This window comes from Homo sapiens, chromosome 2 (genome assembly GCF_000001405.40).
Source record: "Homo sapiens chromosome 2, GRCh38.p14 Primary Assembly".
Classification (NCBI taxonomy): Eukaryota; Metazoa; Chordata; class Mammalia; order Primates; family Hominidae; genus Homo; species Homo sapiens.
Window position 1 is genome coordinate 30,203,583 of NC_000002.12, and position 21,462 is coordinate 30,225,044.

A 21,462-nucleotide genomic window follows, 5' to 3' on the forward strand; every position below is an offset into this window, starting at 1 on the left:
GCTCCCTGCATCTTAATCCTGGCCTGAGAATGGTCAGTCTACTTGAGGGCCAGTAATACGATCTTAAACCTTCATGACTTACGCCTCAGTACCAAGGCCAGTCCCTTCATTTGAAAAGGAAGAAGGAAGAAAACTAGAATCCATTGGCGATTTGCTGTGTGCCAGGCACTTTACAATACAAAGAAGGCTTATTAATATTCTCATTCAAAAAAATAAACAAACCAACGCCACAGTAAATGATGGGATTTGCTTAAGGTTTTGGGACTAATTAATTCAAAAACTGAGACTTGGCTAGGCACAGTAGCTCATGCTTGTAATCCCAGCACTTTGGGAGGCTGAGGCAGGTGGATCACCTGAGGTCAGGAGTTTGAGACAAGCCTAGCTAACATTGTAAAACCCCGTCTCTACTAAAAATACCAAAAATTAGCCAGGCGTGGTGGCAGGCACTTGTAATCCCAGCTACCCGGGAGGCTGAGGCAGGAGAATTGCTTGAACCTGCGAGGTGGAGGTTGCAGTGAGCTGAGATTGTACCATTGCACTCCAGCCTGAGCGACAGAGCAAAATTCCAGCTCAAAAAAAAAAAAAAAAAAAAGAAAGAAAGAAAAAGAAAAGAAAAAATGGAGACTCGAATTGGGTGCTTTTTAATCCCTGGATGCAGAGGCAGGTATGGTATGGCAAGGAAAAGATCACTGACCTTAGATTTTCTACAAGCCCTGACCTTAGATTTTCTTATTACTTCTTTGAACTTGGGAATGGTACTCATTGCCTCTGAGCTTCAGCTTCCTATTCTGTAAAATGAGCAGTTGCCTACCTTGCAGGGTTCTAGTTAGGAGTGGCAGGGGGAATGCTTGCAAAAGACCTAGTGCCGCACTTGACCCACAAGAGGACTCTTGAACACCAGCTGTAACATCCACCCCTTTTGCTTCTGTTGCCTCTTCTGGGAGCCCTGACGGGAAAACCCAGTGAGGTTGAGGATACAGGGGTTTGTGGGAGACCTCCGTCTCTGGAACGAATCCCCCACTCCTCCATCATGCCCACCACACTGGCTGCTTGATTTCTCTGCCACACTCTAGCTTTTCTCTCTGAAAAACAACTTGCCAGTAACACAGCAAGAAGGCTCAGGGCTCTGAACTATTGTGTGCATCCCAGGTGGACTCAGTCCCCAGATGGAAGAAGGACAAGTCTCCATCTCAGAGACAGGGAGTGGGAAGGTAACTGGAATTTTACCTGTGCAAAGTGCCCTACATCCAGGTGATATTTCATCCTGCTCTGTTCCTTCGTAAAGGTCTCCAGCGAGCAGAAGGGTTCCATGAGCCTTACTCCTCTGGTCCCAGGCCTTGCCAGGCACATGTTGCTTTTCCCTGGGAGTAGGGCTGGGCACTCCTGCCTCCCCATGCCCATCAGCCATGGGGTTCCCTTTAAAGGCTCTGGATTGAGCACAGTCACCTCTAATGGGACCATGGAGGACCAGCCCAGCAACCTAGAGCTGCTTCCCAGGCTGCCTGGGAATCATTTCATTTTCTATTTGCAGAATCACAGATGTTGACTTTTGATCTCTTCCTCTCTCCCTTGGGGGCCTCAAATCAGTGATGACAGCTATTTCATTTCTTTTTAATTTTTTTTCTTTTCCCTATAAAGAGAAAAGGTCAGAAAGGGCTCAGAAAGGTTTTGAAAATATTGGAAGAGCTACATACTGGCTACTGGAATGCAAAAGAAAAGCTCTAGCCCTCTCTATGGAAAGCTCATGGCAATGACCAGGCAGAGGCTGGGGTGGGCACTCTTTAAGGCAGTAATGTTAACCTTTAGTGTGTCTGTAAATCATTCAGGAGTCTTGTTATTAATACAATGCAAATTCAGATTCAATAGGTCTAATGCACTCCCAGGCAAGGTCCATGCTGCCAGCCCAGAACCATGCTTAGAGGAACAGGTGCTGAGTTTCTTCCTCACCTCCACCTTGCCCCAGTCCTGAATCCTGCAATCTGTAAATGCTCCCTGCTATCTTCATGCAGTTGAGTCTTAACAGGCAAGAAGCCAGCCAAGCGAGAATCTCTCAGCAGACACTTTAATCAAATTAAAACCCACATTTAGATTTTTATCACTTTTGATCATTTAAACAGAAGAACTTTCAGATATATATAGATTTCCAAAGAAGGGATCACAAGAGGACACTCAGGTGAGGGGTGGGGAGTTGGTGGCAGTGTTGGGGGGGCTTTCTTCTCTCACCCCATTCTATCCCCTTTGACTTATTCATTTCTTTTAAATAGCATTTGGCTCAACTATTATGATCTTATGCTGAACCTTTTGCCATCCCATGAATGGGCAAGCCTCTGTATACCCAGTGAAAATTACCTTTTTCTTTCCATAGGTCCCAGTTGCTTTTTTTTTTTTTTTTTTGAGTCAGAGTTTCATTCTGTCACCCAGGCTATAGTGTAGTAATGTTATCTTGGCTCACTGCAACCTCCTGGATTCAAGTGATTCTCCTGCCTCAACCTCCTAAGGAGCTGGGACTACAGGCGTGTGCCACCATGTCAGGCTAATTTTTGTATTTTTTAGTAGAGATGGGGTTTTGCCACATTGGCCAGGTTCGTCTCGAACTCCTGACCTCAAGTGATCCACCCTCCTCAGCCTCCCAAAATGCTGGGATTACAGATGTAAGCCACCACACCCGGCCTCCCACCTCCCAGTTACTTTTATAAAAATTTTTCTATGTGTTTTGCTCATGTGAACACAACTTAAAATGCATTCTATGATAACTCAAACATAATAAGATGGATAAATATTGTGTATTAGAAAGCAATGTCCATTTTCTAAAATGATTCACTGCATCATGCCATAAGCGATGAGCCCTTTCTGGGTCTTTAACCATCAAAAAGTGACTCTCAGGGATTCAGACCTAATTGGCCTGAGGAGGGACTCAGGCACTAATATTTTTTAAAAGCTCTGAAAATGATTCTAATGTACACTCAGGTTTCAATACCACTAGACTAAATGATGTCAAATTGCTAACTTGAAACCATTCCGATGCCTCGCTATACATTTAAATTCCACACGCATTTTTGAGTGCTTGTCATATACCAGGCACTATGTGGGCTCCTGAGATATGAGCAGATCAGCCGCAGCTTCTGCCTTCAGGGTATGCACAGTCTAGCAGGGGAGATTTTAAAAAGCAGAATTAATTCTATCTAGAGGCCCCACAAATAGTGAAACAGGGAAATGTTGCCTCTATAAATACAAATAAAAGGAGAGGAGGGAGTGGGGGAACCTGCCCATATCTCCCCCATCATTGCTCTTCCTCTCACTTCCTCCAGAGGGTACAGAACGTGGATTAAACAGGAACACAATGAGTGCAGGGCAGAACCTCAGCTCTCAGATTTGAGCTCTGGAGAGAATGGGCAGGGCCGTGAGCAGCTGAGAGATGGAGCCTTCCAGGCTGGGCGATTTCTTAATGTAGGAATGCAAAACCTGGCCCTCAAGTGGCAAAGGCTAAATTGTGAAATGATTTTCAGCAGCTCCTCCACCAAAAGTGTCAGGTAGCTAAAGTCAGCCTCCTCCTCCCTGTCTGCATGCACTCCAGCTGCCTGCTTTTTGTGCTCTTCCTGCCAGATGCCCTCAGCTGGTCCCTTCACTTATATATTTATTTATTTATTTATTTATTTATTTATTTATTTATTTATTTACTTATTTGAAACAAGGTTTTGCTCTGTCACCCAGGCTGCAGTGCAGTGGTGTGATCTTGGCTCACTGCAACCTCTGGCTCCCGGGTTGAAGCAATTCTCCTGCCTCAGCCTCCCAAGAGGCTGGGATTACAGGCACCTGCTATCACACCCGGCTAATTTTTGTATTTTTAGTAGAGATGGGGTTTCGCCACGTGGGCCAGGCCGGTCTTGAACTCCTGACCTCAAGCAACCTGCCCGCCTCGGCCTCCCAAAGTGCTGGGATTACAGGTGTGAGCCACTACGCTGGTCCCTTCACTAAATCTTTATGCCAGCCTGGCTTACTTGCCCCCCAATTACCTTGCAGGTGTCAATCAGCTGGGCGGGACTTCATACTGAGCATGAGTGGCCAAGAGGGTGTGCAAGAACACCTGCATGGTAAGGTAGGAGACTGTTTCTCCCAGAGAAACTCCAGTGTTGGGGAATTCATGAATGAGATATTTTAATAAATGCAAAATCATGCAGTCCCCAGTCCAAATGAATCCACGGATGAGTAAAGCCAGTGAATTTTGGCAGAAAATAGCATATGACCCAAACCTGCCCCTTCACCTCAATTCTGGGGCTCAGCAGGTGTTGTCAAGTGGAGTTCTCTCCTACTAGGGAGAGGGAGCTTGCTCCCAGGCACAGCTGACCAATGAGGGAATGGGCTGCTTTTTGAGATAATGAATTTCCCACCAGAGGCCTTTTGTAAGGTTTTGGGGCAGGAGTATTTAAGCAATGGAAAGGGTGTTGGCTACTTTTAATGTGCCTTATAAGGAACCTCTTAAAACCACTTTGTGACTGCCTTTAAGTACCTTTCAATTCTACAGTTCTTTGAAATATGTGAACTGAATTCAGGTCTCCTATAAGCAGAGGAATAATGACAGTGGCAACGCTGCAAAGCCATGAATATCAATGAATATTAACTGGGAATTTCCTCAGTCGCAGCTCTGTGACACTCTCAAATACACCCTATCCCTCAAAAATGTGTAGAATTATATTATACGTACTTTACAAATAAGGAAATATGCATAAAGAAGCTGAAAGATTTGCCCAATATCCCACAAAAGACACGTGCTTCAAGTCCAGGTTTCTTGATTTGTAGTCTGATGTTTATAGTATAATATCATAATTTTTATTTTGTTCAGATACAGTAAGAGCTGAAAAAAATCCTTAGAATATGTATCTTCAGGAAAGAAAATGATCTCAAAGAAGAAACAGATTTGGTGGAATTTGATGGCTGGATTAGCTGTCAGGGTAATGCTCATGAGTGGCCAGCAGGGAGCAGAAGCCTGCCATTCTAGCCGCTTACATCCTTTCCAAGCCCGTAGAGGTCTGGAAGTTAGTGCAGGAAAACCATTGAGAGCAAAGCCTAAGAAAGCAGAAGGGAGCCAGTGAGGACTGCTGCAAAGGCTCCTTTCAGGCAGGATGTATCAACAGCAGGGTGCATCTGAAGAAGAGGCTTCCCCCAGGAGGATGCCTCCAGGACCCAGAGGCAGCAAGAAAACTCTGGAACATGCACAAGATTGGAATATCAGCAATCCAAGACTCCAGGAGTCAATCTGCTATTTTCCAGCCCATGACCCTTTCTCTGCATCTGTTTCCCTTCTCAATTTACAGTACATTGCCATTGTCAAGCTGTGCAAAGGCCTTCTCTTGTTTTATTTCATTTTCCTATCATTTCCAGTTTGTGTTCCCATTCCCCCACATATTGTTCTCTTTTTCCCGTTGGTTTGCAAGAGCTCTCTGTATAATCTAGGTGTACATCTCTTGTTGTTTGCAAATATATTCTCCCCAACTGTCACTCAGCTATCTGTAAATTTCACTAAAGAGAAATATGGCTTGTGTTTTCCCACCCTGAGTTCACAAAGATATTCCACATTTCCATCTGGAGTTTAGAATATGATATAAAGTTGACTATGATATAATAAAGTTGAGATACAGCTTTATTTTTCTCCATAGAGTGAGCTAGTTAGAGCCCACCACCAGTCCCCAAGTTCATGTTTTTCTTACTGTTTTGGGGTGCTACCTCTATCATAAGTCAAGTTTTCATATTGAAAAATGGGTTTTATATTTTTGAGCTCTTTAGTTTGTTCTGTATGATTTGCTTGTTTCTGTACCAATACCACATCCTTTACTACCATGGCTTTGTGGTAAGGTCACCTGTCTCTCTCCTCTCCTCTCCTCTCCTCTCCTCTCCTCTCCTCTCCTCTCTTCTCCTCTCTTCTCCTCTCCTCTCCGCTCTGCCCCGCCCTGTCCCTCTTCTCTCCTCTCCTCTCCTCTCTTCTCCTCTCCTCTCTTCTTCTTCCTCTCTCTCTCTTTCTATTAAAAATGGCTTAGTTATTTCTGGATCTTATTTATTTTTGAGACGAAGTCTCACTCTGTCAGGCTAGAGTGCGGTGGCACAGTCACAGCTCACTGCAGCCTCGATCTCCCACGCTCAAGCAATCCTCCTACTTCAGCCTCCTGAGTAGCTGGGACTACAAGCATGTGCCACTATGCCTGGCTAATTTTTAAAATTTTTTTGTAGAGACAGGGTCTCAGTATGTTTCCCAGGCTGGTCTCAAACTCCTGGGCTCAAACAATCCTGCCTTGGCCTCCAAAGTACTGGGATTACAGGTGTGAGCCACTGTACCTGGCCTACTCTGATTCTTAGCATAACCCTGAAATATCCATCTACCTTTATGGTCCTTCTTTATTTTTCTAGTTTTATTGCTTTGGCCAAACCTCTAGGACTATCCCGGAGGGGTGCTTTCAGGCCTGCCACTGTGGCAATGCACAAACTTGGACATTTTCAGAAGTTCACTGAGCTTCAGATTCGCAAACTCTCCTTCCAGAGTCTGGTGCGAGAAACTGCTCAGAACTTCAAAACAGATCGTGCTTCCAGAACACAGCTATTGGTGTTTTGCGGGAAGTGAGGCCTATCTGCTTGGCCTTTTTGAAGACACCAACCTGTGTGCTAGTGGTGCCAAACATGTAACAATTATGCCAAAATATATCCAGCCCGCACTCCAGATATATGGAGGGCATGCTTAAGAATCTGTTATGATGGGGAACATTTCATTCTCAAAAAAAAAAAAAATCTTCTTTCTGTTATTGGTAGTTCTGACCATTAGATTTTCCCCCCCAAGGGATCAAAAGGTACCTAAATATATGATTGCATGTGGAAAAATAGGACAGAAACATCAGGTATTGGCAATTGTCTTAGTCCATGTTGGGCTGCTATAAAGGAATGCCTGGGGCCGGGTAATTTATAAAGAAAAAAGGTTTAATTGGCTCACTATTCTGATGGCTGGAAAGTTCAAGACGGGGCATCTGGTGAGGGCGTCCTGCGGCTTCCGTGTATGGTGGAAGGCAAGGGGAGCCAGCATGTGCAGAGATGACAAGGTGAGAGGAAACAAGAGTTTGTGGGGACCTGGATCTAACAACCAGCTCCGCAGAAACTAATAAGGTGAGAAGTCACTCATCCCCACCGCACCCCCATGCCCAGGGAGGGGATTAATCTATACATGAGGCATCTGCCCCCAGGATCCAAACACCTCCCACTAAGCGCCACCTCCTAACATGGCCACACTGGAAATTAAATTTAAACATGGCCAGGCGTGGTGGCTCACGCCTGTAATCCCAGCACTTTGGGAGGCCGAGGTGGGCGGATCACGAGGTCAGGAGATCGAGACCATCCTGGCTAACATGGTGAAACTCCGTCTCTACTAAAAATACAAAAAATTAGCCGGGCGTGGTGGCAGGCACCTATAGTCCCAGCTGCTTGGGAGGCTGAGGCAGGAAAATGGCGTGAACCGGGGAGGCAGAGGTTGCAGTGAGCCAAGATCGTGCCACTGCACTCCAGCCTGGGCGACAGAGCGAGACTCCGTGTCAAAAAAAAAAAAAAATTCAGCATATCATCAGGTGGGGACAAACAAGCCATATCCAAACCACAGCAGCAGCTTTTCCATTTTCATGTGAATTTTTAATATAAATGTGGGCACATAAAGCATTCAAGAAAGAATGTTTCAGTGAATACGTTTTAGCAGTTCACCTTTATAACAATTATAAATAAACCTGTTAAATTTTTCTGGACAATGTCAGCACTTGAATATTTTTTATAACAAATAAATGTCTTATTGACTAAATGGTATTTGCAGCATTTTTACCATACAGTAGATTCCACGCACTCACTATACTTTTCTGAGCCCTACATGCAAGTACTTTTTTTTTTTTTTTTTTTTGAGACAGAGTTTTGCTGTTGTTGCCCAGGCTGGAGTGCAATGGCGTGATCTGCAACTTCTAACTCCCGGGTTCAAGTGATTCTCCTGCCTCAGCCTCACGAGTAGCTGGGATTACAGGCGTGAGCCTCGCACTCAGCCACAGATACATATTTTTAATGTTGTCTGTCTTCTGTGCAATTCCTGTATGTTTGTTATTAAAATACATTAGGCTATAAATAAATAAATACACTATTGGATACCATCAACATATTTTATTCTGAATTTTCAAATATGAAATAGCCTTATAGTTTTGTGTGTGTGTGTTTCTGCCATCCTCCTCTGACTTTGTAATAAAGATTAGAGCAGTCTTATAGCAAAGGAGGAACTCATTTCTATTTGCTGGGGTAATTTATGTATGTCAAGAGATTATCTATCTTTTTTTTTTTTTTTTTTTTTTTTTTTTTTCTGAGAAGAGTCTCACTCTGTCACCCAGGCTGGAGTGCAACGACATAATCTCAGCTCGTTGCAACCTCCGCCTGCGGGGTTCAAGTGATTCTCCTGCCTCAGCCTCCTGAGTAGCTGGGATTACAGGCATGGGCCACTACACCCGGCTAATTTTTGTATTTTTAGTAGAGACAGGGTTTCACTATGTTGGCCAGGCTGGTCTTGAACTCCTGATCTTGTGATCCACCCACCTTGGCCTTCCAAAGTGCTGGGATTACAGGTGTGAGCTACCACACCCAGCCCTATCTCATCCTTAAAAGTGGGTAGAGCTTATCTGTAAAACCATCTGAGCCTAGGGCTTTTCAGAAAGGTTTTTGATTATATTGTAATTCTTAATTGAATACTTGACAAAACAGTTTGTTATTTATTCTGTTCCAGTCTTGGAATTTTGTATTTTTTCAGAATTGTATCAATTTTAGTAGGCCTCCAAATTATAATTCTTCATAATAGTATTAGTCTCAAACTTTTCATAGCCTGTGGCTTTCAGCATTTAATGCATGGTTTTATCTTCTCTTTTTTTTCTCCACCAGGCTCATCAGACATTTATATATTTTGTTAACCTTTTCAAAAAACCAGCTTGGTCAACGTCTTGTTGTTGATAAACACTATTTCTCACATTTCTGAACTTATGTATATATTTTCCTTTTTTCCAGATTTCTCTATTGAAAAATTAGCTTCAAGAATGTTTCAAAAGTGATTTAGGAATAAGCCATCTGAAGCCTTATATACCTGATACTATTTTTATTTTACTTTTATTTAAATGATAGTTTGTTGAAGTTCTTTCCCATCAACACTTTAAAATATTACTTTGTTGTCTTTTTCTTCTTCTTCTTTTTTTTTTTTCAGTAGAGATGAGGTCACGCTATGTTCCCTAGGCTGGTCTCAAAGTCCTAGGCTCAAGCAGTCCTCCCACCTTGGCCTCCCAAAGTGCTGGAATTACAGGTATGAGCCATCATGCCCTGCCAACGTCATTGTCTTCTTGTATCCGGTTTTGTTATCGAGGTTTTTTTGTCATTCTAATTCTTTTTCTCTTTTCGTTGATCTAGTTTTTCTTTATACATGTTTTGAGAATGTTCTCTTTGTCATTAATGTTCTTAAATTTCACTACCATGTATCTAGGTGAGAGTTCCTTTTTGTATTTGTCTTGTTTAACACTTGGCTTATTTTTCAATCTAAGTTTTGTATTTTCTTTATTTCTAAAAAATTCTCAGTCATCTTACCTCCAAATATAGCCTCCCTTCACTATTTGCTTCCCCCTTCTGGTTCCAAATTCAGCCCTCCTAACCAGTACACTATCCACCTGCTCTGAGAAGGTCAGCTTCGTTGCCCTTATCTGTTTGGGTATGGCTTCCTTCTACCACACCGTGAAAGGCAGGGGTAGAGTGCTGTTTTGTCTTTGTACTCCTGGGGCATCAGTACCCACCGTGTGCTAAACGAATGAATGAACTAAGAGAATGGAGAGGTGGAGGTGGCCACAGGGCTGGAGTCAGAGGTGCTGTGGAGCCAGGGCGGGAGCCCAGCTTCATGACTGTGCTGCGTCACACTCAGGCGCATGACCTCTACTGGGGCTGCAGCCCCTTAAGCAGACCCCTCCCTGTGGGAGTCTTACTGCTCGTACGTTATATATATATTTCCTTTCAATAGGGGCATCCAAAGTCTTAACCCAAAGCGGGCACCGTTCCCTGGCAGCCTGGTGGCAGGGAGGCGGGAGAGATATGTTCCAAGCCCCTCAAATGGCCCACTTAGGCAGTCATGTAGAATCTCGAGAAATACTCCCTAGCTTCCCAGGAACTGACTTTTTCCTGGATAAGTCTCTCTCTCCTGGATGTAGGCTATCAGCTCTCCAGAAACACCCCCTCACTTTCAGTCTCTCTTAATGGTTACTCTCAGCAACCTTTGAACCATTATCGATTCATGCTATTTTCTACCATCTCTTCGATTTCATTTTTCAAGAGGTCTGATGTTCTTTCACTATTCCTGCCTTTCTGATCTTCTCTCATAAAAATCTGCCTTTTCTATAGAAGCTTTATTGGAAGAGGTTTTACACATGAGTTAGGAAATTGGATTAGATTATCTTGGCCACCATCCAACCCTGAATTCATTGATTCTGTGAAATTTACAACACAGTTGAGCTAAACTAGCACCATTGGGGATCACTAATGATTAAATCATCCACCATACCATGGTGCCCTTCTGCTTAATGAGAAGATACAACGCTAACCAGCAAGTTCTATTTGTGGCGTTGAGATTAGTGAGCTACTCTGACATTATCTAAGTTGAACATTCAAACTAACCATATTTCCAGTGTGCCTTAGGTATCTCAGTAATGACAATCATAGTTAACACATATGAGACACCTACAATGTGCCAGGCATTGTCCCAAGTACTTTACGAACTTTTTTTTTTTTTTTTTTTTGAGACACAGTCTCACACTGTCGCCTGGGCTGGAGTACAGTGGCACGATCTCGGCTCACTGCAACCTGTATCTCCCGGGTTCAAGCGATTCTCTTGCCTCAGCCTCCCAAGTAGCTGGGATTACAGGCACTCCCCACCATGCCTGACTAATTTTTTGAATTTTTAGTAGAGATGGGGTTTTACCATGTTGGCCAGGCTGGTCTCGAGCTCCAGGCCTTGTGATTCACCTGCCTCGGCCTCCCAAAGTGCTGGGATTACAGGTGTGAGCCACCGTGCCCGGCCAGTACTTTACATACTTTAGCTCATTTATTTTCCACAGTTACACAGTGAGAGAATTAACATTTTCATCCCTGCATTACAGAAGGGAAAACTGAGGCATGCTGAGGTTATATAATTTACCCAAGATCAGAGTTGGTAAACGATAGAGCTGGAATTCAAACCGAGCAGGCTGGGCTGTTAACCACTGCACATACTACATCCTGAAGCTCAGAGAGATTATTGTGCACCCCCCATGTGGAATTACGCCTTCCTATCTCCTCACAGGAGGCTGCCAGAACTCCCTTCCCCTCCTATCATTATGACATGCGTCTGGGCTTCACCTTTTGCACATCTGAAAAGAGTTAAAAGAATTAGGAGACTTTTGAAAGAGATGGATGGTATAGTAAGGAAAGATACTGAAGCCAAAACAGGAAATAGAAAGTCAGTCATGTTTGGGTCAAAGTAAGAAGAGTTAGAGAGGGAAGAAGAGGACGAAATTCAGGATCTTATGGAGGGCTTGGAAAGCATGAGAACACGCCAGATAAAAGGAAACAAATAAAAAGGAAGATGTAAAATAATAAAGATGTCAATTGTTCCCAAATCAATTATACAATTTCAGCTGAAGTCTAACACAGCTTTTTTTTTTTTTTTTTTTTGGTTGGGTTTGGATTGTGTTTGGTTTTGTTCTGCTTTGTTTTGAACTAGACAATCTGATCTCAAAATTCCCTTGGAAGCACAAAGGGCCAAGAATAACTGAGAAACAATTTTGAAAAAGTACAAGGTGGAAGAACTTGCCCTACCAGATATCAAGATTTATTATCAAAATATTTAGAAAAGAAGACAATATAGTCTGCGCACAAGGATAAGTAAGGGAGCAGAATAAAGGGCCCAGTCACTGGCCTGCCCATGTTTGGAAAGAAGATGGGGCAGAGATGATGTTACACGCCAGTGGGGAAAGGGTATTCTATCTGATAAATGAGTGCTAGGAGCAACCTTTATCCATATGGAAAATAGTAGATTTCTACATCAGATCATTCCTGGGTGATCTTAAAAAAAAAAAAAAGCACAACTTTAAAACTTAAAAACTTAAAAAAAAAAGCACAACTTTAAAACAGAAGATGAAGACATAGAAAAATTCTTTGTAATTCTTTGTGACTTTAAGATGAAGAGTTCATTTAAAAACACTGAAAATAGAAACTTGGGGTAAGTTTAATTTTAAAAGTGGTAATGTGGACTAGTACATTAAAACTCACTTTTGTACAACAAAGGCCATGAGAACAAAGTGAAAACCAAGCCATAGACTGGAAGATAATATTTGCAATGAATACAATATGCAAAGCGATATCTCTAATTAATAAGAAAAAGACAACATATGGGGGAAAATGGACAAAACTATCAATTCACAGAAAAACTCCAGGTCAATAAAAATATAAAAAGATGCTTACTTTCACTATTAAAGAAGTACAAATCCAAACAACAATGAGATACCATTCACACCCACCAGATAGCAAAAGTGTATGTCAATGCCAAGTGTTGGGAAAGATGTTAAATCATGGAGTCTCATTCACTGCTAGTGGAACTGTAAGTTGATCCAAGTACTCCAGAGAGCAATTTGGCAACAACTAATGAAGATGATCATGTCCAGAAATTCCACTCCTAGGCATATAGTCAAGAAGACATGTATTAAGATATTCACTGCAGTACTGGAAACAGCTTAAATGTCCATCCACAAGAGAATAATTAAATTGTATTAGAGTTATACAATGGAATACAACACAGTATGTGTCAGCATAGATAAAAATCTCACAATTGTAATGCTAAGGGAGAAATGAATATTGCAGAAGATAGTGATACTACAGATATGATTATACACTATATAAAATTTAAAAGCTGGCATAATAATCCTTTGCAATGTCTGTGATACATAAAAAATGTAGTAAAAATAGTAAAAGTATAAAAACACATGTGAAGATGATTAACACTGATCTCAAAACAGTGCTTAGCTCTGGGAAATGAGGGAAGAAAATGGGATGAGGGAGGTGTACAGAGAGGAACTCAATTGTATCGCTGATATTTACTTTCTTTGAAGTAAAAAGACATGAAGCAAATAAGGCAATGTGTTAATATTTGCTAAAGCTGATGTGGCCATCATTAGCGCTACCCACCAAATATTTCTGGCTCTCTGCCTGCCAGGCCCATAGTAGGATTCTATGTCCTCACCCATTTTGAATCAGGAGCAGCCTAGAGATTTGCCTTGGCCAATGAAATGTGACTGGAATTGACTTGTGTTTCTGGCCTCTTGAGCCAATGCACAAAAACTTTGGCCAACATGGCAGCCCAGAGACAAAGCTTCTGTCCTCCCCAGTCCCTGAGCAAGCATGACACCCCCAGGCAACCCTAGGAGGATGGGAGGATGGGAGGGAGATGAGTGCTGTCAGCCGCTGAGGTTTGGGGGTTGTTTGTTACTACAAGTCTACCCTGGAGAATAGAGCTGGAAAATGGGTCCACTCCTATTCACTGTATCAGTCTCTGATTTTATCTACATGTTGAAATATTATCAAAAACATTGTAATACTTTTAAATTGGACTGGCTTTCTATCTCTTCGTTCACGAAAATTCTCTGTACTGGCCTGCGCAAGGCCCCTCTCTTAATTTATTAACTTTTGTGTTTTCAGAAAGTGCCTCTGACTTGGGATGGAAGCAATGTGGAGCTGTAGGAGCCTCCTGGTAAAAAGGATGAATGGCAGAAATCATTGATTAAGCCCAGATTTCTGGGTGAGCCCAGATTTCCTCCAGTGCTGTCTGCTAGCATTTCCCATCAATCTGGGGACAGAAACCCAATGAGAAAATCTTAGCTTTTCTCCAGAGAAATGTAAGCAAGAATTTTGATGAATGCAACTGCCGTTGATTCTTTGTATGGCTTTTAGAAAGATCACTTCACCCTTTTTCCCACTTCTCTGCAGTTCACCTCTGGGAGAAATGTCAAGAAAACTTTCCCACACCTCATGGCTTCCAGGTTCCTTTTTAGGGCTGCCTGCAAGGCCCACAGGGAATAAAAGGCCCAGCAGGAGGTGGAGGAGGGGCAGCATGGTGAGAGAAGGAAGAGAAACTCCGTTCTTGGCCAGTTGTGCTCCGTACTGTGCAGACACACAGGCAGCGCCTGGAAGTCACCGAGAAATGCAATGCCTTTGAGAAGTTCCGTGGAAAGAATGACATCATGACCAGTCACTCCCCCACCCCACCTTTTTTCCAGTGGGAGTGAGAAATAAATAGACTGACACATTTTCCAGTCAGGGAGCCATTCTGGACAGCAAGTTTACCTTGGCACAGGAGCTCAGGTGGGGCTGTGAGAAACCTTATCTGTGCTTGCCTGGTAAACAAGGAGCCTGCAATCTCCCCGGAGTCTTGGCCACTGAGCAGGTGACTGCGGGAGGCAGGTGAGCAGAGCAGGTGAGCAAGGTGAGCCTCGGGCCCAGGAGCACGCTGTGTTAGGTAAATATTGCCTTAACTTGATTGATGGACTCACTAACTGTCTGTTTGTTGCCAAGAGAAATGCCATCACCGCCAAATTCAAAGGTAAAATTCCTGTCCCTTAAATCAAGGGTTCTCAAACTGTAGTGCGTTACTAGGTCACCTGGGGAATGCCATTAAAATGCAGGTTCTGATTCAGCAGGTTGGGATGGCTGAGAAAATTGCCTTTCTAACAAGCGGCTGGTGATGCCGAGGGTGCTGGTCTGTGGACCACTCTCTGAATTTGCAAAGTCTTAATGCTCAGATGACTGTATGCATTTTACACGGTCAAAATAGTTACTGATTAAGGAGCACTGATGCAGGCTGCAGGTGTCGTACCAGATGTTTGCTATCATCTCTTGTAACTCTTCACACCAACTCTGCAAGGTGGGTGTTATTATCCCCGCCCCCTCCTTGGCTGGCAAGGAAATTGAAGCTAAGAGAGGTTAATTCATGCATTATATGTGTAATTTCCAAAAGATTTCATTGCTACCTTCCCTCCTTTCACAGTGATCTGAAATAACCCAAAGACAAAAGATAATAAACGCCTGTGGTAGAGACGGGTGTTGTCTGCTTGTGGTGATCGGCCCTCTTGGCACCTGGAAATGAGTAATTTCGTCCGTACATTGTCAGGGCCAAGCTCAGGAATTCAGAAATCCTGGTTATCTAGGTTTGGCCTAGGAGGTCCTCTCTTCAAAAGAGAGAGTAGCTCCAAAAGGTGGACAAGACTGGTTTTTCAGATCCCTCTGGTGCTGATGTGTTCGCCCCTAGGACACGCAGTTGGAGAAAGTTCTTGATACCAGGAGGAGTTGCTTTGATGTGTCAGCTTGGAAAGAATGCCTCGTAAGGGCCATTCAGGACTCCAGGAGAGCAACAAAAACAAAAAAGCCCCAGCTCGTGGAAACATCAAAGTGAAGGCAAATATAACCAGACTGACCCACCTGGAGGTATTTAAATACCTTGAAGAATGGTGGTGTGTCCTTGCAAAACCCAGGCAGCTTTCAGGTAGAAACTTGAGTCATGTCTGGATCATAAGGAGTGAGGTGGCCCCACTGGCTGTCCCTGGCCACTCATTATAATCAGGAAAAAGTGAGGACAATGTGAGACTCTCCCTTGGAGAGTCTGAAAACTTGGAAGACCTGAATTTTGGTGACCACTCAACAAGTCAGTCTGCTCCAGGGACCCATTAACATTGCAACCTCATTCCTAGTGGTGCCAAGATGCAGCCATGATTTGTACTGCAGTGTGGGGAGGCCAGATTTGGGCCCTCCTGGAAGTCCACAGCAATTCCGTCCCTGGAAAGTTGTTGCACAGAGGAAAATACAGCGCCACGTCCCAAGACAAACTGAAGGCCTCCAAAGAAGACATAAGTAATTTTGTTCTTTATATTTTACATCTTTACAGAAAGTATCCGAGTTTACAAAAACCACATAAAATAGAACAAAGTTTAAAAAATAGAATATAGAGGGAAAGGAAAAATAATAGATAACAGAGGACAAAGCCCAGTGTGGCTGCTACCTTATTGCTGTAAGGTCCTGTACACTTTCAAATCAAACTCTGACTTCCCAACCCACAAAGCAAAAGTTAAAGAAATGCACGTACAGCACTGCACCCATGATAAGAAAAACCAGGCAGCTGCTGCAGAGAAGCACATCTATTCCTGATGCTGAGGCTCCCCATGGGGCCTCATGAGAAAGAATTGGAAGACACAGTGGAAGGCCACCAAGAGCATCCCCAACAACAGCCCTACCATACACCATAGGGAGTTTTCTGGGATGGAGTTTCCTGGGATGGTTCCTATGACATCCCAGTGCAGGCTACTGGCCATGCCAATGCCTGGTCCAGTGAGAACAATTATGGGAGACTCCAGAATGACCTCTGCTGAGCTGGCTTACACCTAGGACAAAAATCAGAGCAAAGAAACTGCTTTGGGAATCCGAGGGGCCCTGCCTCTCTGGGAATCTGAATTCGGGCTTCTCCCCAGGTCTTGTGCCAGCTTTGCTCTTTGCTTTGGGAGGGGAGTCCCTAGGGTTTCCAGCAAAGCTGCCGTCATTGAAGACAGAGGCACAGCACATAGCCCATGCACAGGCCAGGCCCATGGTCTTCCCACTGAGACCTCTAGCCACAGAATAGTCTCCAGTCGAGCAGAGGCTGAGGAGAAAGAGGGACTAAGTGCTGGTCCTGGGTTCACCAGTCACTGACAGTGGGAACCTCAGAAAGCCAACTCCTCTCTGTGGGCCTTAGTTCTGTCGCCTGCGAAGTGGAGCAGACGAGCTAGCATCGGATCTGTCCTTTTCCTGAGGATTCTCATGGCTGCAGAGCTCTTCAGTGCATGGCAAGCTGAAGAGAGGCAATGAAGCAGGGCTGGAAGCGTTGGGGTCTGTGGAAGACATGAAATGTACCACCCAGATCCGCCTTCTACGGAGGGCCTTCTGCCCAGCTGCGGGTATGGAACCAGCAGCCTGCCTCCAGCTGTTTGTTCCTTCAAAGTCTGCCACAGCTGCAGAAAGCTGCCTCCCCCAAGATCATGCCCTCCCAAGATAGCCCATGCTGTGGATTGGGTGCAGCAGGGGAATAAAGGCCCAGGCACTTTGTCCCTGTGCAGATCACTCTGAACAGGTAATATTAGCTCCAAAGCTCCTCACAGAATTGGCCAACATTTGTTGAGCCTGCATTTCAGTTAGACTTCTTTTTCTACCCAAGCCCGCTTCTTCCTTCTTCTTTGCACAGGTGTTGCTCCCAAAACCTGTCTTGGCATCTGCTTCTGAAGAACCTAATCTGCAGCAGAGGCCAAGCACCCAAGCACAAAGACTTGCCTGGCCTATGACCTTTGGAACAAACACCTGAGCCACCGTGGACCCAAGAGCTAGAGAAACAACCAGCGTGGATGGTCTGACAGCACCGCTGGCCACAGCTGCTACTCAGTGGCCGTTCATCACATGGAAAAGGGACATGACCCTCTTCTCCCCAAACAGCCCCCTCTTGACTCTGTTCTTCCAGCGGATGATGCCAGTTTTCCAGCCACCCAAGCTCAAGATCTCCAAGCCTCTCCCAAGTTCCTTTCCCTTCTGCTCCTATATCCGAACAGTTACTAAGTTTTGAAGCTCCATCTTTGCATACACCACCTCCCTCATGGGCTACTGCAGCAACCCCATGAGGACCCCTCCCTCCTTACTATAAGATGCTCACCCCTGGTGCAGGTCCTGTCACTGTGATTCCTGCTCGCGCTCCCCACCATATGGGTCACTGCTCTGTGGAAGGAAGGAATGACATATTGGAGTCACACCTGTTTCCCCGAAGTCATTGGGAAGTGTTCGTTGCTGCTTGTTAGAAATACCCAAACACAAACAAAAGGTGGTAAAACAATGTGAATTCGATGAGAAGTTTCTGCTTCTGTTTGGATTGAGGTCAGTGTTATTTCCCTAGCGTAGACCCAGAAAACAGAGCACTTGTTCAACTGAGGAGATGCCCCTGGCATGTAAGTGAATGTGCTTGTGTGGACATGTGGAGGTCTCAAGAACAAAAGAAGAGCTGGGCAACTTGCTGGCACTTGATACCCAGGTGTTTCTTAATGTTCCTGTTGAAGAAATAGCTGTAAAATGCTGAAGGAAATGCCCGCTTCCCTGTGTACAGAAGGCAGGCTGCGAAGGTGGGGCACCATACATTCTAGTCCAAAGAGGACTAGTATGACCTCCCCATTAGGCCACACGAATCCCACAGCTGTGTGCGTGTAGCCAAGATGTCAGCAAGGTGAGACCCCACACAAATACTCCAAAATGTGCTGGAAAGAGGGAGGGATGGAATATCAACCATTCTATTTGGCATCATTCTCTGCTAAGAGAACAGGCTTGGCCTCTCTTTTTCAGAAACCAAGAAAGGGCTTTGCTGCCTTTGCTATGTTTTCCTGTTAATCAGCAACAAAATGAAATCATCAATTTGGGTTTCCCTACCCCTTCTTTTTACTGTTCTTCAAGTAGGCCCAATAGAGGATAATTTACTACTGCAATTTTGTGTCAAGGAAGCTGAGTGCTTGTTACAGTTGCACAATACTTACTGCGCCATAAGCGGAGGGCAGGAAATATCAGGCCCATTTTACAGAGAAACAAACTGAGCCCCAATAAGTGAAAGGAATTGGTGGTTCTCTTATTAAGAATGCCTGCAGCATCATATCTGGTGTGTAATCCATTTACTTTCTTCTTTTTAAATAGAGAAATTACTAAGCATTGTGGAGGCTTAGGGTCCTGGAGATGAAGGCAGTAAAATGAGACTAATGCTGGTGAGGGTGTATGAAGGGGCCCTCTCTAGGGTGGAAGTGGAAGCCAAGTGGGTCAGCACTTTTATTGGTACAACCTGCAACCATCCCAGATAAAATAATCAGGTGGCTAGGAGTGGGGAAGGTCCCCCCTACCCCTGGGAAGACTCAAACACACAGAACATTCTAGCTTTTTGCAGTAATAATATCATGGACATTAAAGAAGAAGATCAGAAAACAGCTTCAGATGCATCACCTTCTGTCTTTCTGGTGCTCCTTTCTAAGAGGAGGCCTGGATGAGAATGCACAAGAAAGCCAGGCACTCACTCAGGAGAGTGCAAGCCAAGGTTCCTACCTGGCTGTGCCTCTGAATTCACCCACCCAGGGCCCTTGGTGAGGGTGGGAGGTGTGGTGGCCAGTTGCCCCGCCATCTTCAGTAGCTGGGGGCAGTAGGGCCACTGGCTCTGCCTGAGGCCAAAACGTGCCACACTGGCTGCTCACTGGGCTCTGAAACCCTGCATGTAAGCTACCCCGAGGCCTCACCAAGCGTGTGGAAATGTCTTTCTGCTGTCATTACTTGTCCTGGCTTTTGCTCAGACTCACACAGGACTTACACCCCTGGGCAGGGATGCTGAGTGCCCGGGTCCCCTTAGTCTAAAGCTCTGTCCCTTGGAAGGAAGGAAGGAAGGAAGGAAGGAAGGAAGGAAGGAAGGAAGGAAGGAAGGGAGGGAGGAAGGAAAGAAGGAAGGAAGGGAGGAAGGAAAGAAATGGTATGCCCAGATCTTTTTTCCCCTCTTCTGAGTTAAACAGCTCAAGTGCTATGATCATATTAGATCTAGGGACAAGAATTCCAATCAGATCCCTCCAGAAGGACTGTGATGGACAAGGAAAGTCACCTCATACTGTGCCCACTGGATGCACCCACCCCAGCCCTTCCAGGTGGTTCCCCCTCTCTCTCTCATCATGACATGGTTTCCCCCTGGGCTTCAACCATCAACCATCAATTTGCCTCCAGGACCAGAGACTTTCCTGTCACCCACTTACCCTGTCTGCAGTGCCACCATGAAACTGAGGCCTTTGAGGTGCTGCCTGCATGTCATTCTCACAATAGTGTGAATTCATTTGTCAGATCAAGTTCTCTTGCCTGGCAGCTGCCTTGGCTTAGAGAGCTGCAGGATGGAAGTTTCAGTGGAAAAGCAAAGAGTGGTTTTGGAGCTTGGGAGGCTGTTATGAAGGGAGTGTGGGGCTTCCTGAGTTCAGTGGGTGCCTGGGGCGCATTGAAGGGAAGTGTGAAACAAGAGGGGTTAGAAAGGGGAAGTCTCAAAAGACAAATTTCACATACATGAAATTTGACCTACTTAACACTTCTGCTGAGGCCCCACCTGGCTGGAAGAGAAACGCTGATATTAACTCGAATAACATAGAGGTGAAGGAACCTGGACTGATTTGGCTAATGGAAGTAACAGACTTTTCTTTCTGCTAGAAATTGTGTGCACAGTCCCTTCCGCAGAGCATGAGGCCTTTTACTCACAAATAGTTATTCCCTTCAGCATGTAGACTTGGAGTCATGGGAGTGCCTCTCCCAAGGTCTGGAATAGATAATGCTGCTGCCCACCCCTAGTTCCTGGGACACACCTGGCCCTTTCTGACCCCTACACCTTTGCTGATGTTGTTCTGCTGGCAGGATCGCCCTTCTCTAGCTTCTCCCCATCCTTTGAGGCCAGCTCAGTTGCCATCCCTTCCCTTTAGCTATTCCTGCTACCATTCTTTCCACAGATATTCCCTGAGTGCCTGCTAGATTCCAGGCACTCTTCTGGTGGTGGTGACACAGTAAGACACAAAACAGACCTACTCCTTGCCCTTGAGAGCTTCCCTTCTGCCAGTCAGCCCCCCTCTCCCAGTGCCTTTGCCTGGGACTGAACTAATCATATCCCCACCCATGCTCACATGAGTCTACTGCAGCAGTTATTGTATGATATTAGAGGGAGTGGCAACTAGGTTCCCAGACACCCCAGTGCCCAACACCTTGCCAACACCAGAGGTAGACTCTCACTTCTTTAAAAAAGAAACTCAGGGGTAGCAATTTGCATAGGAAGGGCAGAGGCTAGGAGACTTACCTGCAAAATGCACTTGCTAGCATGTGTGACCGTTCTACTTAGTTTTGTGTTTGTTTGTTTTTGTTTTTGTTTTTTTTTTTGAGACAGTTTTGCTCCGTTGCCCAGGCTGGAGTGCAATGGTGCGATCTCAGCTCACTGCAACCTCTGCCTCCCGGGTTGAAGCGATTCTCCCTGCCTCAGCCTCCCAGAGTAGCTGGGATTACAGGCACCCAACACCACGCCTGGCTAAGTTTTGTATTTTTAGTAGAGATGGGGTTTCACCATGTTGGCCAGGCTGATCTCGAACTCCTGACCTCAGGTGATCCGCCCACCTCTGCCTCCCAAAGTGCTGGGATTACAGGCGTGAGCCACCGTGCGCGGCCTTAGTTTTGTGATTCTTTGAGGGGATCATTAATGCAGTTTAGGGAATTTGTCTTACAGGTGCAGTGACCTTGCAGGCATAATACCATCACACAGACTGTGGTTATCTGGGATGGTTACAGGGAGTTATGGAGACAGGAGAAAACTAA

At 44.9% G+C, this 21,462-nt stretch overlaps 1 pseudogene, besides 4 other annotated features; it reads left to right on the top strand.

The window, feature by feature from the left end:
- Window positions 5,026–5,250: a silencer, noted in NCBI's record as "fragment chr2:30431474-30431698 (GRCh37/hg19 assembly coordinates)". NCBI's record gives its function as "represses an EF-1alpha promoter that drives an FKBP-Casp9 reporter gene in an ReSE screen in HepG2 liver carcinoma cells {active_cell/tissue: HepG2}" and the evidence as "EXISTENCE:reporter gene assay evidence [ECO:0000049][PMID:32094911]".
- Window positions 6,445–6,908, top strand: H3P5 (H3 histone pseudogene 5; annotated as a pseudogene).
- Window positions 14,359–15,558: an enhancer, noted in NCBI's record as "CDK7 strongly-dependent group 2 enhancer chr2:30440807-30442006 (GRCh37/hg19 assembly coordinates)". NCBI's record gives its function as "activates an origin of replication core promoter dependent on BRD2, BRD4, P300/CBP, MED14 and CDK7 cofactors, with strong dependence on CDK7, by STARR-seq in HCT116 cells {active_cell/tissue: HCT116}" and the evidence as "EXISTENCE:reporter gene assay evidence [ECO:0000049][PMID:35650434]".
- Window positions 20,193–20,252: a silencer, noted in NCBI's record as "silent region_11324". NCBI's record gives its function as "represses an Ori minimal core promoter by ATAC-STARR-seq in GM12878 lymphoblastoid cells {active_cell/tissue: GM12878}" and the evidence as "EXISTENCE:reporter gene assay evidence [ECO:0000049][PMID:35858748]".
- Window positions 20,773–20,842: an enhancer, noted in NCBI's record as "active region_15533". NCBI's record gives its function as "activates an Ori minimal core promoter by ATAC-STARR-seq in GM12878 lymphoblastoid cells {active_cell/tissue: GM12878}" and the evidence as "EXISTENCE:reporter gene assay evidence [ECO:0000049][PMID:35858748]".